The sequence below is a fragment of the Homo sapiens genome, chromosome 12 (assembly GCF_000001405.40).
Source record: "Homo sapiens chromosome 12, GRCh38.p14 Primary Assembly".
Taxonomy (NCBI): domain Eukaryota; kingdom Metazoa; phylum Chordata; class Mammalia; order Primates; family Hominidae; genus Homo; species Homo sapiens.
Window position 1 is genome coordinate 49,809,314 of NC_000012.12, and position 18,653 is coordinate 49,827,966.

At 48.3% G+C, this 18,653-nt stretch overlaps 1 protein-coding gene and 1 pseudogene across 6 annotated transcripts in view, besides 3 other annotated features; both read right to left on the bottom strand.

Annotated features, from left to right (window-relative positions):
- NCKAP5L (NCK associated protein 5 like) overlaps positions 1 to 18,653 on the bottom strand; it is a 37,262-nt gene that overhangs the window by 18,162 nt on the left and 447 nt on the right. For 2 of the 6 annotated variants that reach the window (XM_011538611.3, NM_001368048.1), the window contains exon 2: positions 7,593 to 7,671. The exons of the other annotated variants lie outside the window; for them this stretch is intronic. The gene's annotated coding sequence lies outside the window, so the exon portion shown is untranslated. The remainder of the gene's footprint in view (positions 1 to 7,592; positions 7,672 to 18,653) is intronic. 6 annotated transcript variants of the gene reach the window in all.
- NMTRQ-TTG6-1 (nuclear-encoded mitochondrial tRNA-Gln (TTG) 6-1) lies at positions 8,094 to 8,168 on the bottom strand (annotated as a pseudogene).
- Positions 15,632 to 16,498: an enhancer, noted in NCBI's record as "NANOG-H3K4me1 hESC enhancer chr12:50218728-50219594 (GRCh37/hg19 assembly coordinates)". NCBI's record gives its function as "activates a minimal SCP1, AML or CMV promoter by ChIP-STARR-seq in naive H9 embryonic stem cells {active_cell/tissue: H9 hESC(naive)}" and the evidence as "EXISTENCE:reporter gene assay evidence [ECO:0000049][PMID:30033119]".
- Positions 16,499 to 17,365: an enhancer, noted in NCBI's record as "NANOG-H3K4me1 hESC enhancer chr12:50219595-50220461 (GRCh37/hg19 assembly coordinates)". NCBI's record gives its function as "activates a minimal SCP1, AML or CMV promoter by ChIP-STARR-seq in naive and primed H9 embryonic stem cells {active_cell/tissue: H9 hESC(naive and primed)}" and the evidence as "EXISTENCE:reporter gene assay evidence [ECO:0000049][PMID:30033119]".
- Positions 18,509 to 18,558: an enhancer, noted in NCBI's record as "active region_6335". NCBI's record gives its function as "activates an Ori minimal core promoter by ATAC-STARR-seq in GM12878 lymphoblastoid cells {active_cell/tissue: GM12878}" and the evidence as "EXISTENCE:reporter gene assay evidence [ECO:0000049][PMID:35858748]".

Genomic DNA, 18,653 nt, shown 5'->3' on the forward strand with positions numbered 1-18,653 from the left:
CAGAGACCAGGCATGGGAGGAAGGGGCTGGAGAGGCAGGCGGCAGCAAGCCTGTCCTCATTCCCTCACCCCGGCCCTTAGCCAAGGCCTCCTGGCCCCTGGTGAGCCCCTCATTCACCAGCTGTTCCCCCCAGAGTCCTCTAGGGAGAGAAGCCAGGGACCAGGAGTGGGGGAGGGTGGGCAGCTGTAGGAAGGCAGAGATGGAGAGCTCACTTAATCACAGAATCACCCGTAACACCAACCGCTTCCCTCCGCACCCTCCCCAGCTGCTTTCTGGAATCCCTCTTACCCTCCCAGCCCTTTTACCAGTCACACCCAAGAATCCACTTGTAAACAGCAACTTCTGTCCCCACAGCAAACACCCTTTCCAGCCAAGATCAGCCCTGGGCTGCTGAGGAGTGTGGGGAGGGATAGGAGGACTGAGGCCTGGCTCCCAGGGCACTTCTAGCCTGAAAGGGGCCACTTAATCCCTGACCCAAAGCATCTTTCAGCCCTGAGAATTCCAACTGGTCTCCTCCCCATTCAGGGTAAGAGGGCAGACAAGAATTTCCTTCCCTCCTCCTGACAACTGGTACTGGAGACACAATAGCCCTTCTGAGAGGCATCTGTCTTGGAAGGGGCCCCCTACATCCCCCCAACTTCCGTTTCACAGGCACTCCAAGCACCTCAACCACCATGGTGTGAGTTCTTCCAAACCAGCTGCAGGATAGGTCCTCGGCCCTTCCAGGAAGGGAAGAAGGAAGGGCAGTCGTGTTATAAGCCCCAAAGGCCTCCAGATTTCAACATCCCTCATCTCCCCTCCCTCAGAGCCCTCCTGCTCCCTGTCCACAGCATAACCCAGTAACAAAACTAGCAGCTGCCGGGGGTGGGGGGAGGGAAGGGGGTGGGGAGAGGGAAGGGGTGCCGACACAATGGGTTTATTTATAGGACCACACACCAGGGGCTCTGCAGCCAAGTGGCCCAGGCCCCACTCCCAAAAGTCCAGCCCAGGCCGTCCTAGCCCAGCCGAGGGTACTGGAAACAGCCTTAGACCGGAAGGCAGAAGAGTCTAGGCATGGAGTCCAGTTCGAACTCTGCAATTAACTTATGTGCTGTGTGACTAGGCAAATCATTCCGTCTCCCCGAGATGAGTTTCTTCACGCCAAGTGGTTGTTGTTCTGCCACAGTGGTTCCCACAGTGGGGCCTAGGCACCCTGTGGCCCTCTCCAGGGGTCTGTAAGGTCAAAGCTGTTTTCCTAATACTACTACTAAGACACTATCTGCCTTTATTACTCTCATTCTCTCCTGAGTGTACAGTGGCATTTTCCAGATACTATGCTGTGTGATACCGCAAAAGATTGAATACCGAAGCAGACAGGAGAAGCCAGCTTCCTTCTATTAAGTCAGACAGAAGAAATTTGCAAAAATAGAGAACAATGACTTATTATTATTTGTGTTTTTGGAACATATACAATTAAATTTTTAAATAAAATATGTTAACATGTGATGGGTTTATTGCTATTTTTAAACAAATTAATTAAATAACTGTAAGTATAACATTTATAAACAAAAGCTCTTCGGGGTCCTCAAGTTTTAAGCGTATAGAAGGGTCCTCAGACCAAAAAGTTGGAGTCATTTTTCTAGAACAGTGCTGTCCAGTAGAACTTTCTGTAATAATGAACATGCTTAGTCTGTACTATCCAACATGGAAGCTATCTATTAGCTACACCTGGCTGCCGAACACTTGAAATGTGGCTAGTCCAACTGAGGAACTGAATTTTACATTTAATTTTAGATAGCCACATGCGAGCTCAAGAAGTTCCCTGGGATTCCTCAACTTGCGTATTCTAGGACAATGCTTCTTTCCACAAGGAGTGGGTGTTGCAAAGGGACTCCTGTCCCCAGGCTTGTGCTTACGCGCTCTCTCACTCTCTTCCCCACCACAGAAGGCCAGCTCAGCCCCACTGTCAGTCCAGCCTGGCAATCCTGCCCAGCTCAAGTAAGAGAGCTGCTCTCTCATTCTGTGCCATGAGTAGCACACACCCTCTCCACTCTCCTATAACTTCTGGCTTACCACCCTCCTGTTTCCCCAGAGGATTAAAGCCAGCAGAGGGGAACCCCCTCACACCTCCTGCCGCCACCCTCCCATCCCCCTCGGAACCCTCCCCACCTCCTCATCCACTATTACAGCAGATGAGTTGCCTGCTCCCGGGCAAAGCCAGTCCTGCTTGTCCCAGACTTTCCCCATTTACGTCTTCAGTATCTACCTCCTGAAGACAGCTTTCTCATCTACCCTTTAAAACTTAAAATCTTTAAATCTTAAAAACAATCTTCTCGTTGGGCACAGTGGCTCACACCTGTAGTCCCAGCTACTTGGGAGGCTGAGGTGGGAGGATCACTTGAGGGACTCCGAGTCTGCAGCGAGCTATGACCCGGCTACTGCTGCACTCCAGCCTGGGCGACAAAGAGGGACCCTTTTTATTCTCTTAAACAAACAAAAACAACAATCTTTGCTTGACATTTTCCCAGATACTGCCAAATTTCAAAAAATACTCTAGATACTTCAAAGCCAAACTTCTCAAAAAACAAAAAAGAAAATCCCAAAACCATCTTCTCATTGTTCCCTTAACCTGGTCCGACTTCAGTGGTAACCACCACGATGCTAAATCCAAACAATATTTTTCAGTCCTCATTGCCATCGCAGGTATAAGACCTCTGTGACCACTTCCTCCTGGACTTTTTTTTAAGCTTTGAGACAGTCCATGTCTCACACAATTCACCCACTGAAAGTGTACAATTCAGTGGTTCTTAGTATACTCAGAGATACGTGCAATCATCAACATGGTTAATTTTAGAACACTTTTATTAGCTTTTATTGTTCCTTTCCTTAACACTGCCCCCTCCCCACCCAGTCACAGGCAACCACTCATCTATTTTCTGTCTCTATTGAGTTCCCTATTCTGGACATTTCATGTGAATTCAATCATATCATTGGTGCCTTTTACGACTGGCTTCTTTCACTTTGCATGATGTTTTCAAGGTTCATCCATGTTGTTGCACGTATCAGTAGTCCATTCTTTTTGCTTGGTTTTCATCTTTTTTTTTTTTTTAGACAGAGTTTCACTCATGTTGCCCAGGCTGGAGTGCAGTGGCGTGATCTTGGCTCATTGTAACCTCCGCCGCTCAGGTTCAAGCAATTCTCCTGCCTCAGCCTCCTGAGTAGATGGGACTACAGGCGCCCGCCACCACGCCTGGCTAATTTTTGTATTTTTAGTAGAGACGGGGTTTCACCATGTTGTCCAGGCTGATCTCGAACTCCTGACCTCAGGTGATCTTCCTTGGCCTCCCAAAGTGCTGGGATTACAGGCATGAGCCACCACACCCAGCCTCCATTCCTTTGTATGGGTGAACAGTGCTCCACTGTATGGGCCAGCCACAGTTTATCCATCCATTCTACTGATGAACATTTGGCTTGTTTTCACTTTTTAGCTATTATGAATATTGCTATGATCATTTATGTAGTTATCCCTTGGCATCCCCAGGGGATTGGATCTAGGTCCCTTGCAAAAACCAAAATCTGAGGACGCTCAAGTCCCTTATATAAAAAATGGTACAGTATTTGCATAAAACCTAAACACTTCCTCTGGTGTACTTTATAAATCATCTCCAGGCTTCTTATAATATCTAATACAGTGTAAATGCTATGTAAACAGTTGTTACTGTATTATTGTATTATTTTTATTTTATTGTTATTTTTTAATTGATTTTTCCCCCAAATATTTTTGGCCCACAGTTGGTTGGACCCTGCAAATGTGGATCACTACACAAGTTTTTGTATAGATGTATGTTTTCCTTTCTCTTGGGTATATACTTAGGAGTAGAATTGCTGGGTTATATAATAATTGCAGGTTTAATCATTTGAGGAACTGTCAGATTGTTGTCCAGAGCAGGTGTACCATTTTATAATACCACCAGCAGTGTATGAGGGTTCCAATTTCTCCATACCGTCACCACTTATTATTTGATCTGCTGATTCCAGCCACCCAGTAAGTGTGAAGTGAGATTTTATTGTGGTTTGAGTTTGTACCTCCCTGATGACTAATGATGTTAAACATCTTTGCATGTGCTTATTGGCCATTTGCATCTCTTCCTTGGAGAAATGTTTTTCAAATTTTTGCTGATTTTTAAATTGGGGATTGTGTCTTTTTATTATCTAATTGTGAGAATTCTTTATTTTTATTTTTTACTTTTTTTGAGATGGAGTCTCACTCTGTCGCTCAGGCTGAAGTGCAGTGGCGCGATTTCAGCTCACTGCCGCCTCCACCTCCTGGGTTCAAGCAGTTCTCCTGTCTCAGCCGTCCGAGTACCTGGGATTACAGGCATGTGCCACCACACCTGACTAATTTTTGTATTTTTAGTAGAGATGGGGTTTCACCATGTTGGCCAGGCTGGTCTCCAACTCCTGGCCTCAAGTGATCTGCCCGCCTCGGCCTTCCAAAGTGCTGGGATTACAGGCATGAGACACTGCGCCTGGCCTACATTTTTTTTTTAAGAGACAAGATCTGGCTCTATCACTTAGGCCGGAGTGCACTGCCACAGTCATAGTTTACTGTAACTTCAGACTCCTAGGCTCAAGTGGTCCTCCCACTTCAGCCTCCCAGGTAACTAGGACTACCACAGCTGGCTAATTTTAAAATTTTTTGTAAAGACAGGGTCTTGCCATACTGCCCAGGCTGATCTTGAACTCCTCCTAGTAATCCTCCTGCCTTGGCCTCCCAAAGCACTGGGATTACAGGGATGAGCAACTTTGCCCAGCCTAGTTTTCAGAATTCTTTACATATTCTAGATACAAGTCCTTTATTTTATATTTATATATATATATATATATATGATTTGAAAATATTTTCTTCCAGCCGGGTGTGGTGGCTCAAGCCTGTAACCCCAGCGCTTTGGGAGGCCGAAGTGGGCGGATCACGAGGTCAGAAGTTCGAGACCAGCCTGGCCAACATAGTGAAAGCCCGTCTCTACTAAAAATACAAAAAATTAGCTGGGTGTGGTGGTGTGCGCCTGTAATCCCAGCTATTCGGGAGGCTGAGGCAGGAGAACCGTGTGAACCCGGGAGGTGGAGGCTGCAGTGAGCCGAGATAGTGCCATTGCACTCCAGCCTGGGCGACAGTGTGAGACACCGTCTCAAAAAAAAAAAAAAAAGAAAAAGAAAATATTTTCTTCCATTCTGTGGGCTGTCTTTTCACTTTCTTGAGGGTATCCACTTCTTCCTGGATGACTTTTCCCTTGCCTATTACATTCCCCTGCTCCTCCCACCCCTCTTCCACCTCTTCTTCTGTGTGCCTATGTGTTACTTTATGTATAAATACATACTTAAAAAAAAGACATAGTAGCACGTTCTCATGGTTCCACATCTTTCTTTAGCAGAACAATTTTTAGAAAATGAAACTATAGCCTTTATATGGATCTTATCCGTTTTTCTATCAATATTCTGTTCCAAGATCCAATCCAGGATTCCACAGGGTACTTGGTCACCCAGTCTCCTTAGTGTCTACAATTCATGACAATCCCTCGACCTTTCCTTACCTTTCATCATTGTAACACTTCTGAAGGGACTGGTCAACATTTTGGAGAATGTCCTCCAATTTGGGTTGTTTGATGTTCTCACTAATTAGACTGAGGTTATATGCTTTGAGAAGAATACCACGGAGGTGATATGCCTTCCCCAGGGCATTATATCTGAGGACACACATGATATCAAGGTTTCTTGTTCCTGGTGATGTTTTAACCTCATCACTTGGTTAGGCAGTATCTATTAATTGGTTTCTCCATTATAAAGTCACTATTTTTCCTTTTGTAATTAAATATTTTTGGGGGCAATACTTTGGACTATGTAAATATCCTGTTTCTCCTTAAATTTTCACCCAGCAATTTTTTTACCAAAATCAGTGGATCTTGCTTGTAGCAATTACTATGGTGCTCTAAAACATAATTTTCAATTTCTTATCTTCCTTCTATATTTATTAATTGCAAGTTTTCTATAAGGAATAATTGTCCCTTCATCCCATTTAATCATGTATTTATATTGGTATGGATGAACTGGATATTTATTTTAATCTTTGGGTTATAATCCAATAATATTATCACATTTCATTGCTCAAATTCCAGCTATGGCCATTGGCCATTGAGAATCTTTCAGGTTGGGTCCTTCTTTCAACATGCTTCCTTTTCTTTTTAAGACAAGTCTTGCCCTGTTGCCCAGGCTGGAGTGCAATGGCGTGATCTCGGCTCAAGCGATTCTCATGCCTCAGCCTCCTGAGTAGCTGGGACCACAGGTGTGTGCTGCTACACCTGGTTAATTTTTATATTTTTAGTAGAGATGGGGTTTCACCACGTTGGCCAGGCTGGTTTCGAACTCCTGACCTCAAGAGCTCCACCCACCTGGGCCTCCCAAAGTGCTGGGATTACAGGCTTAAGTCACCACACCCGGCCAGTGCTTCCTTTTTTTTTAAGCACTCTCTTGCCATAAGATGTTCCCGGCTTATCTTGTATTTTCCTTGCCACAAACACTTTTCCAAGGAGCTCCACCATAGCAACCTTCTAAAACTATAAATCTGATGGTGTTCTTCCCACTTCAAATCTTCCCACGACCTCCTACTGCTTTTGGGAACGACCAAAGCCCTCAACACAACCCTCAAAGCTCTGCCTTTGTCTGGCCCCAGAGCAACTCTTCGGACAAGCTTTCCTGGACTCGTGCAGCCTCATTGTTCTGTCTTCTACAAGTGCCTCCTGCAAGATCAGTATTTCCAAATGCAATGCATTGTGTTCTTGAACATTCCCTGTGAAGAGGAGGGGACTCCCTATACTGTTAGAAGGGGAGCTCCCCGAGGAGAGGCCCTTCCTTGTATTTCTGCACTCCCTGCCACGCCCTCTGCCAGTGTACCACTCCTACCAACCAGACCAGGCCCTGAGCCACCCTGCCCCCTGCAGAACTGGTGATCTCCTTTCCTTCTCATCAGAAAGAAGGTTAGAAAGAAGGGACAGCTAAGAACATACATGGGCTCATCAGGTTCCCCAAAAGACCCCTAACTATCCTCCATCAAATGGCTCTTAGGGCCCATAGGACAAACCATACTGAGGGTGAGGAAGGGACATTTTCAGATTTGTCTCTGACCCTTTCAAAGTTCTCAACCCTCTCAAAAAAAAAAAAAAAAAAAAAAGGCTGGACGCGGTGGCTCATGCCTGTAATCCCAGCACTTTGGGAGGCCAAGGTGGGTGGATTACGAGGTCAGGAGTTCGAGTCCAGCCTGATCAACATGGTGAAACCCTGTCTTTACTAAAAATACAAAAATTAGCCAGGCATGGTGGCACGCGCCTGTGATCCAGCTACTTGGGAGGCTGAGGCAGAAGAATTGCTTGAACCTGAGAGGCTGAGGTTGTGGTGAGCTGAAATCGCGCCACTGTACTCCAGCCTGGGTGACAGAGTGAGAGTCTGTCTCATAAAAAAAAAAAAAAAGTTCTCAACCCAATCTTAGACCGCAGTGACTCTCTCTGGCAAATAGTACTAACCTATTAATTCTACAGATATTTCTGAACCGACAAACTTACTAGGAAATGCAATGCTTGGGTATATAGCTGGGGGCGATTCAGAGAAGGGTCAGCTCTTGGGCTTCTTGGAGCTTTCAGTCTATAGGGGACATAAGACATGCAAGAAAAAAAAATCAGTAGCCTTTCTATATGTTAACAACGAACTACCTAAAAAAGTACAAAATAGTAAAATATTGGGAATAAGTTTAACCAAGGAGGTGAAGGATCTCTACACTAAAAACTATAAAACACTGATAAAAGAAATTGACATGAATAACTGGAAAGATGTCCCATGTTCAGGGATTGGAAGAATTAATATTTTTTAAATGTCCATAAATACCCAAAGCAATCTACAGATTCAATGCAATCCCTATCAAGATATCAATTATATTTTTCATAGAAATAGGAAAAAAAATCCTAAAACTCATATGGAACCATAAAAGACCCCAAATAGCCAAAGCAATACATCTCACAAAAGAATTACTTTGATAGAGTAAACAATAGAGGTTAAAATCCTCTTATTTCTAGAATATAGGAATTGAACCTACCCCTGAGAATCCAAAATTCTCCATGCTACCTATCACACCACATCCTAGAGTAAAGCCAGGTAAATAAGCTGAGCAAAAGTTTGTTCTTGAGCAAAAGAACAAACTTGGAGGCATTACACTAACTGATTTGAAGAACCTACTACAAAGCTATAGTAATCAAAATAGCATGGTACTGGCATAAAAACAGATACTAGATGAATGGTTCAGAATAGAGAGACCAGAAATAAATCCACATGTTTACAGTTAATTGATTGCTGACAAAGATGCCAAGAACATACAACAGGGAAAGACAGTCTCCTTAGTAATTAGTGTTGAGAAAACTGGATATTCACATGCAGAAGACTGAAATTAGATTAGACCCTCATCTCACACCATATATAAAAATCAACTCAAAATGGATTAAAAACTTAAACCTGGCCGGGCGCAGTGCTCATGCCTATCATCCCAGCACTTTGGGAGGCCAAGGCAGGCAGATCACATGAGGTCAGGAGTTTGAGACCAGCCTGGGCAACATGGTGAAACCTCATCTCTACTAAAAATACAAAAATTAGCTGGGTGTGGTGGCTCATGCCTGTAATTCCAGCTACTTGGGAGGCAGAGGCACAGGAATCTCTTGAACCCAGGAGGTAGTGGAGGTTGTAGTAAGCCGAGATCGCGCTGCTGCACTCTGGCCTGGGTGACACAGCAAGGCTGTGTCTTGGAAAAAAAAAAAAACAAAAAAACCTTAAACCTGACCAGAAACTGTAAAACTACTAGGAGAAAATAAAATACAGGGTAAAAACTCCATGACATTGGTCTGGGCAATGACTTTTTGGATATGACCCCAAAAGCACAGGCAACAAAGGGGATTACATCAAACTAAAAAGCTTCTGCAGAGCAAAGGAAACAGCAGATTAAAGAGACAATCTACAGAATAGGAGAAAATGTTTGTAAACCACACATCTCATTCACTCAGGCTGGAGTGCAGGCTGGTTGCAGTGGTGCAATCAATCATGGCTCACTGCAACCTCAAACTCCTGGGCTCAGCTGATCCTCCCACCTCAGCCTCCTGAGTAGCTGGGACTACAGGCATGCATCACCACGCCCAACTAATTTTTTGGATTTTTTTTGTAGAGACAGACTTTGACCACGTTGCCCAGGCTGGTCTCGAACTCCTGGGCTCAAGCAATCTGCCTGCCTCTCCCTCCCAAAGTGCTGGGATTACAGGCAATGAGCCACCGTGCAGAGCCTGACATTTCTTAAAAGACAGACAAATGGCCAGTGGGTATACGAAAAAATGCTCGATATCACGAATCATCAGGGAAATGTAAATTTAAACCACAATGAGATATTACCTCATACATTTAGAATATTATAAAAAAGACAAATAAGTGTTGGCAAGGATGTGGAGAAAAGGGAACCCTTGTACACCACTGGAGGGAATATAAATTAGTATAGCCACTATGGTAAATAGTATGGAAGTTTCTCAAAAAACTTAAAATAGGCCAGACCCAGTGGCTCACACCTATAATCTTAACACTTTGGGAGGCCAAGGCAGGAGGATCACTTGAGGTCAGGAGTTCAAGACCAGCCTAGACAACACAACAAGACCTTGTATTTAAAAAAAAAAAAAAAAAAAGGCCGGGTGCAGTGGCTCGCGCCTGTAATCCCAGCACTTTGGGAGGCCGAGGTGGGCAGATCACGAGGTCAGGAGATCGAGACCATTCCATCTCTATTAAAACTACAAAAAATTAGCCGGGCGTGGTCGTGGGCACCTGTAGTCCCAGCTACCTGGGAGGCCGAGGCGGGAGAATAGCTTGAACCTGGGAGGTGGAGCTCGCAGTGAGCTGAGATTGCGCCACTGCACTCCAGCCTGGGCAACGGTGCAAGACTCCGCTTCAAAAAAAAAAAAAAAATTAAAAACCCTTAAATAGAACTACCATTAAATCAGGATGTTGAAGAGATATCTGTACTCCCATGTTTATTCATTGTAGTCAAGATATGGAACCAACCTAAGTATCCATCAGTAGATGAATGGATAAAGAAAAGATGCTATATACACATAATAGGACACTATTCAGTCCTAAAAAAGGAGGAAATCCTGTCATTGGTAACAACGTGGATGAATCTGGAGAACATTATGTTACGTGAAATAAGCCAGGCCCAGACAAATACCACGTGATCTCATATGTGGATTCTAAAAAGTTGAATGCATAGAAGCAGAGGATTGCTTGAGCCCAGGAGTTCAAGACCGGCCTGGGCAACATAGCAAGACTCTGCCTCAAGGGAAGAAAAGAAAACAGACATGTGGATAGATAGCTGTACTATGAAGGAAGTTCCATAAGAGGAGTCTTTTGAAGAACTTTAAAAATCAGGAGAGAAATATTAAGCTAAAGCTGAAACCGTTTTTCAGAATTGGAGACATCAAGTGAACAGAAGGTAAAGACAGGTGGGGTTTACATACAACCAAAAGGGAAGGGTGTCATTCCACACAGAAGGAAAGGCAGCAACAGAAGTGAGGAGGCAGAAACCTCTGGGTGTATATGGAACCAGAATGACTCAGTGCAGCTGGATCTAAGGACATTTGAAGGTGATGGTTTCCTGCTTCCCTGGCCCATGCCAATAACTAACTCCTCTCCTATCCCCTGGCCGAATTAGGGAGTTGGCATCTTTTCAATATCCTGGGCATAACCAGAGACACATGCTGGGCCCCACAGGAGGAACCAAGGCAGAGAGGCTCCTGGAGGTGATGGCAGAGCTGACCACTGAAACATCAGCTATTAGTATTTTCTCCCAGGTCTGAGACAATAGGGCCTGGGAGGCTGCACCTGCACGGGGAGGAGTGCTGGGCAGATACCCTTCCAGCTCCTAGTGCCCATCCCCCAAACTTTATCTCCTGGCCTTTTTTTTTTTTTTTTTTTTTGAGATGGAGTTTTGCTCTGTCGCCCAGGCTGGAAGGCAGTGGCGCGATCTCGGCTCACTGCAACCTCCATCTCCCGGGTTCAAGCGATTCTCCTGCCTCAGCCTCCCGAGTAGCTGGGACTACAGGCGCGTGCCATTATGCCTGGCTAATTTTTGTATTTTTAGTAGAGACGGTGTTTCACCGTGTTAGCCAGGATGGTCTCGATCTCCTGACCTTGTGATCCACCCACCTTGGCCTCCCAAAGTGCTGGGATTACAGGCGTGAGCCACTGCACCCAGGCCCCCATCTCCTGGCTTCTTTCTACAAAAAGAATAGGCTCTGGCCAGCCAATATGCCTTCTGCACTCAAGCAACTCCAGTGCTCAGCTAGTGGGCACCATCCAGCCAGAGCCCAGAGGTGACACCCCAAGCTGTCAGCTCTACGCTGGGAGGAGAAAACAGCTCTGGTTCACCCACAAGCCCCCACTGGGCTCTGCTCTTGTTTGTGATCACAAACAGGAGTCAGGCTTTTGGGATTCTGCTCCTGAGATTCATGCAGCCAAACCGCGTGACCCTAGGTGAAGCTGGCACCCCTCTGGGCCTCAGTTTCCTTCCTGTAAAATGGGGGTGAGCCCTCTGACTCTGACTCCTCTCCCCTGCAGGGCACAGGAGAGAAGAATATCCCATCTAGAAAAGGACTGCAGCTGAGGAGCCAGGTCCCTTGTGCGGGGTAAGGGTGGGGTAAGGAGCTCGGCAGGGCCTTCAGGGATAAGCTGCTGGCTTTGATGCTGCCTTGCTCCTTCAAGGCCTGTAGGCTTTCCAGGAAAGCAGTCAGGGAGGAGAAAGGAAGGGACAGCAAAGCCAAGAGTTTTAGCCTTCTTCTAGCCTGGGGGACAGGAAGTGAGGTGCTGTCTACAGAGGAAGTGAGAAGCAAACCCCCATCCCCACCCCCCAACTTCCCCTCAGCCTGGAATGGAAAGAAAGCCTCCAGCTTCAGGAGCCTGCAGGCTCAGAGCTGGGGAAATAGAAGACGATGTGATGCGGGTGGGGGAAGAGAAATGATCAGCACCATCTGGCAGAGAAGGGGGTCTCCTGTCTTGGACACAATAAAACTCAAGGGGCCCAGGACATCCCACAGACTGCGGGAGTGGGGAGAAGAGAAGCCACTCAAGCCAAGTTGAGAAAGCCAGCATTCTAGGCCACATGGTACCCACATCTGCAGTCCTGGCCTGACTCCTGCTCCCAGCATGTGTGCCATGTCATGTGCCTCGGCACGGGCCACCCCCAACACTAGGTGGGGCAGGTCCTTGGAGCACTTGCTCTTATAGCACATGTCCTTTCTTTGCAACCCTTATCACAGCTATAATTATAAAACTGTTTAATTACTTGATTAACGTGGACTTTTTTGATCACCACTGTATCCCTAGAGATTAGCACAGCATCCGGCACACAGTAAATTCTAAATAATCTGCTGGCTGAATGAACAGGCCGCTCATATAGCTTGAGAATTCCTCAGAGGCCGGTTTGACCTGAATCCTGGCATCTGAATGAAGTTTGGTATACAAAGGTGAACAAACACTGCTCATGACTTGGGGCCAACTGGGGAACCCTGGGATGAGTGGTCAAGGCCAGTGCTATGGTCTGAATGTTTGTATCCCCCCAAATCCACATGTTGAAATCCTAATACCCAAGGTAATGCTATTGTGGGGCGGCGGGGCGGTGGTGCTGTGGGAGGTAAATAGGTCATGGAGGTGGAGCCCTCATGAATGGGATTAGTGCTCTTATGAAAAGAGGCCTGGTGAGATTCCTCACCCCTTCCACCATGTGAGGACACAATAAGAAGCCTCTGTCCAGGAATCAGAAAGCTGGCCCTCACCAGACACCAAATCTGCCCTTGCCTTCACCTTGGACTTCCCAGCCTCTAGAGCTGTGAGAAATAAATTTCTGTTGTTTCTAAGCTGCCTAGTTTATGGTATGTTGTTATAGCAGTTCAAACAGACTAAGACAGCCAGAAACAGGAGAGCCGACATAGGCGGCAGGAGAAATCCAGGCACACCCAGGTACTGCTAATAGGTAAGGCAACAAATACAGTAGACATGCTACGCTGTATTTTGGGTAAGAATGAAAAAAAGAATATATATTTGTGTGTATTTGGTATTGTGTAAGGAAACTCAAGGGATATACAAGAAACTAATAAATGATTATGGGGGAGAACGCGATGGAGGTGGGAGTGAGATTTTTTTTTTTTTTTTTTGAGACAGGGTCTCACTGTTGCCTAGGCTGGAGTGCAGTGGCTCAATCTCTGCTCACTGCAACCTCTGCCTCCTGGGTTCAAGTGATCCTCCCACCTCAGGCTCCCCAGTAGCTGGGACTACAGGTTCACACCACCACACCCAGCTAATTTTTATATTTTTTGGTAGAGATGAGGTTTCACCGTCTTAGTCAGGCTGGTCTTGAACTCCTGACCTCAAGTGATCCGCCCACCTTGGCCTCCCACAGTGCTGGGCATGAGCCACCGTGCCCAGCAGAGATTTCAATTTTCAAACTATATTTATAAAACCTGATGAAAAAATAAAACTGCAAAAAATATTAGAAGGAATCCAACTACTCAACAAGTTGATTTCCAAAGCTCCTCCCAGCTGTGGCATCCAACCTCTTCCAGGCCCCTAGGACAAGGGAGCAGGTGAGGTGGCCGGTCAGATGAATGTGGGGGCTCCAATCCAGGGCTGCTGATGCCTTCACATCCTTTCTTCTCCAGCAATCTTGCCCTGGGTTAGCAGAGAGGCCCTCCTAACCCCAGGCTGTGGTGTGAGCATGGTAACACCACTATTCAGAAGTTGGTCAGGGGCACTTCCACCTGGGTAAAAGTTGGGTTTATTCTAGGTCCCTGGGAAGGGGGACAGTCTGGTCAGGGTCAGAGGCAGAGGGCAGGGGGAAGTTTGGGGCAAGTGGGGTAAATGACCCTGGAAGTGCCTGGTGCTGCTGTGGGCAGGTTCTGGGGGTGTCTGAACAGATCCTTGTACAGAAGGGCCGATTACAGCTCCCCCATCAAGCCAGCTGGGAGTGAGGTAAATCAGCCCCTGGGAACTGCAACTGCTGAGAACCCCAGAGCCACACTACGGGAGTTCCAGGGCCCCTCACAGCCCTGCCTAGAAAAACCTTGACCATTGGCCTACCCAGAGTGTCTAAGGGCAGGGGCAATTTCAGGCTGAACTACATGAGAGTGAGGAGACATGCAGACCACAGGTCCTAAGCAGCACCTGTCACTCAAGCCCTGCAGGCAACAGCAGGAGCAGCAGAATGGGGTCTTCTCTCCTTTAAGACATCTATACATTAAAAAAAAAAAGCATAGTGGATATTGGAGAATTCCCAGAGTTCAAGGACCAGCATAAGGTTCACAGTGCTGTGCCTGACTGGGCTCTTCTCAGCAGCTGCTGGTGCTGGGTTTTAGAAATCAGTAATAACAGCAACAATAATTCACCTTAATAACAGCCTGGCCTCTTTCATCTGCCTAACTCCCAGAGCTGGGAAAATGGTAATGATTGAGCAGATGCCACACCCCAGTGGTGATGCATGATTAATCCAGGAACACTGGCTGGGAAACTGAGGCCCAAGGAGAAGGATTTCCCCTCACAGAGAACTACAGACACAGGCGCCGAGGGCTGCTGGGCGGTGGGGGGTGAGGGTGCCAGTTCCATATCTGCAGTGTTTTGGGAAGGTGCTGAAGACAGGGGTACTCGTTCCAGAGTCCTCCAGACTTGGGTTTGGGGAGAAGGTGAAGAAAGACCCAGATATGTGTCCCAAGCTCCCTCCTAGGCTGCAGCAGGGCCTGGTGAGTAGCCTTAGCTGGGAGTCAAGGCCTCTGTTCTTAAGCCCATGCCCCACCCTCCCAGAGTGTCACAAAGCAGGCTGACAGCTGCCTCAGGCACCTCCACATCTATACAGTGTGCCCAGGCACCACAGGGTAAGTGAGTGCTCAGCCCTCCGAACAGCCCCACGCCACAGGCACAGTCCATGAAGTGGGAGTGGGGAGCACCTTACAGCCAGGTAGGCAGATCAGATCAAGAAGAGTCAAGAAATGGGGAAGACTGCTTCTTGGGGACCCCAGCCCATCTCTGAAGCCCCCTTGCATCCTTGGTATTGATCCTAAAATAAAGAGATCCTTCCTACAGCAAGGCCTGTCTGGCCAGTGCCGTAGAAACCTGCAGAGGAGGTCCAGTTGGCGTCTGCCCTCCAAGAGGGCAGAGGACGGTGGGCAAAGCATCCTAAGAGACCAACGACCTTTTCCCACTGTGTCCCCGGAGGGAACCAGTAGAGACTCAAACTAGGAGAGAAGGATAAACAAAGATGGAGGCATTGCATATGCAGGTCCATCCACGGCCTGCTGCGTGCCTGGTACTGTGACAGATGCCGGGACAGACAAAATCTAAGCTCCTGAGAAACCACAAGGGCCAAGACAGGCAGCAACCAATGACCTTAGCCTCCAACCCTCCAGGTCAGTGTCTGGGGGAAAATATTATGGGTCTTGTTCTCAGGGATTTGAAGCTGCTTTTCCTCGGTATGTTACAAAGCTGACCAGAGCCCCTGGAGGGTCCTGCGATAACACTCTGACTCTCCAAGGGCCCAGCTTTCTGCTATCTCAGGTTCAAGAACTGGCCCTCTCTGCCTTAAATCCAGCCAGGCTACCTCATGCATAAAACATTAACGCAGAATGGGACCATGTAAAACTACACAGCAGAATCAGGAGTCCTGCCTCTGACACTCACCACCGCATGAATCACTTCCCCCTCTGGACTTCAGTTTCCCCATTTTTAACATGAGGGCGTTGGACTAGACTGTCTCTAGGATTCCTTCCAGCCTATGCTCTGTGTTGTTTTGATGTAGTGGCAGATCCCAGATTGATTTACATAAATTTGCATGTTCAATCAGAAATCCCAAACTCCAAGTATAGAAAATCCAATCAGTCCATTAATGCAGCCAGACTGGGGCTCGGGGAACCTGCCAGGTTCGGGTGAGGGTTGTCGAAGGAGACAGTGAGAGCGGTGGTGAACTGGGGGAGGGGGCTGAGAAGCAGGGGCTAGAAAGGGCACTTGTTTTGAGAGATGCAGCTCTGGTGACTCAGGCATGATGGGGTCAGGGACCCCACTTCGGCTGTCAGGCAAGGGCCCTTTCTCTTCCTCCTTCTAACGGGGCCTCTGGCTGGCCAGCCTCAGAGCCACACCCCAAGAGGGAACAGCAGCTTCTGCCTAGTAACAGCTGCATCCTTCAGTCTGACAGTGACTCCAGCATTAGCCACTTTCTGGGAAACTGACCTCCCTGGGAGCTTCCATTATCCATTCCAACGGCTCACAGCGGTAAGGAAGGCTTCCTTGGGATTTAACCTAAACACCTCCTGCTGCAGCTTCACCTTCATAGGCAGCAGGGCCCAGGGCAGAGGGCTTCCCAGGCCCAGGAGAGCCAGCAGAGGGAAAAGTAACCCAGGGAGAATGTGCCCCTACATGAGCAAACCCAGGGCTTCCTTAACCACCACCTCTCCTTCAACATTCCCCTTCACCTGGGAGACCGAGGATGAAAACAAACAAGAAGAACTTCAAGACCTCTGGCTCTTGGGCTGGAAAGCAAGTCCCAACCTGGAGAGCCCAACTCCTGAGAAGTCCTACCCTGGGGAGGGAAGGGGCTGGGAAAGGTGGGGTGGGGGCAGCTTCTCCTCACTGCTGCCACTGGCTGGTATAGCAGGGCCTGGGAGGCTGGCTGGGCTGGATGAGGGCGGTGGGGAAGAATCCTTAGCCCCTTGCCTGGGACCTGGGGGTGTGAGTACAGCAGTGAGGTGGGCAGGGCTGGGGGTGGGATGGGCAAAAGCAGTGGGGCCCTCCTTGCCCTCCTCCTATAAGAGGGCGGGTGGGTGAGTATGTTGTGCTCCCTGGCCCAGATCCTAAAACAAGTCCCAACAGCTGAGACGTAAACTGTCTCCTGGGAATCTGCTTACCCTGCTGGCCCTTGGCTGCCTCCTCCTCTCTCAGCTCCTCTTCAAAGGGCCAGGATGTCTCACCACAGGCGTGATGGGTGGGCCAAACCCAAGCCAGCAGGAGCAGGAGTTCATATCCCAAGGCACCAGGGGTGTGTGGGACAAGGTCTACTCTCAGGCTTAGAATAAGGGAATCTGTTCTCTCTACCCAGGGTTCTAATCCTAACTAATTGCAATTTAAAGCACACCCAACACTTTAGCTCCCTCTAAATGGAACCATTCTGCCAGAGGACCTTTCTCCCCTATAGATTCACCCATCAGTGGAACCATTCAATGTCAAAAAGTGGAAGGGAATATTAGAGCTATCTAGTCCAACTACTGACATTTAAAGATGGGGAAACTGAGCCCCAGAGAGCAAACTGTCTTGGCCAAGGTCATACAGCAAGCTAGGAAAAGTAGGGACCAGAGCTTCTGACTCTGTCTTTATTGATACCCGCTTGCTCCCCAAACACTTAGGTCTTCACCGGCCTATCATGAAGATCCTTCTTCCCTGCCAACCACAGCACCTGCCCCTCCAGGTCCTCACTCTCTTCGTGAGGGCCAGAGCTGGAGAAAGATGCTGGAGGGACAAAGCCACCTCATGCACAGACCATAGACTTTGAAAACAAGCTTGAACATGGGAATATCTCCCCGGAAAGGAATACACACGGTTTCTTTGGGATAGGAAACCCACTAATCCCAGGTTGTTTTTAGGAAGATGGGGGGACCAATTTGAGAAGTGAATTTTCCTATCACACAAGGAGTCTCAGAGAGCCAGATGGCGTAATGTCTGCAAGGGAGGGTCTGCAACAAGGCAAATGGGCTATGTTCATTTTCCCCGAAAGTACTGACCACAAAACGGTAAGGCATTGACACTCTTTCTACTGCTCCCCAGGCCACCCCTGCCCGGGCCACTTCCTCTGGCTGACCATTGTGCTTAAGAAGGAGGACCCATGACAGACGCGGAGAAGTGGGAGGGAGGGATTGCCTCTACAGCCAGAGAACTCCTTAGCCCAAGACCCCCAGCTCCTCAGCAAGGCAGGCCTTTAAGAAGTAGCAGCTGGACAGACTAAGTGGACTCAGCTGATCCAGCCCTGGGATGCCTGGAAAACCAGGCCTGTGGGAGGTGAGGGCCCTCTGTGCCCTTGGGGCCGTGCCAGGACTGGAGATAACGCGGGACCTTGGGCCCAGGACAGGGAGAGGGGAGCTAGGATCCGGGCAGCCGCTTTCTTAGTTGGGCTAAGCCAGGGAAGCGTCGGGCACAGATGAATTCTCTGCATTCTTCTGGCACCGCAGCCAGCACCCAGAGGGCCTTTTCTGCAGACGCTGCCCTGTCCCTGCTCCCTGCCCAACCAACCCTTCTCCCTCCCTTAGCTTCTCTTCAGCGTGCAGCCCACCAGGTCCTTCCTCCTTCCCGCAGCCCCTCAAAGCCTTTGAAGGGGCTGTTCTCTAGGAGACCCGGTCTTTCCGCCTCTCCCCGCCTTCCCCAGGCCCTACCGCCCCAGGCCACGGGGAATGGGAAGGAGTGCGAAAGGGAGCCCCAGGCTCGTCTCCGCGCCTGCGCTTTGGGGAGAGAGCCCCTCCCCCCGCAATAACCCGGCACCGCTAAGCGGCACCCGGACGGTGGGATGCGGGTTGGGTGGGGTGAGC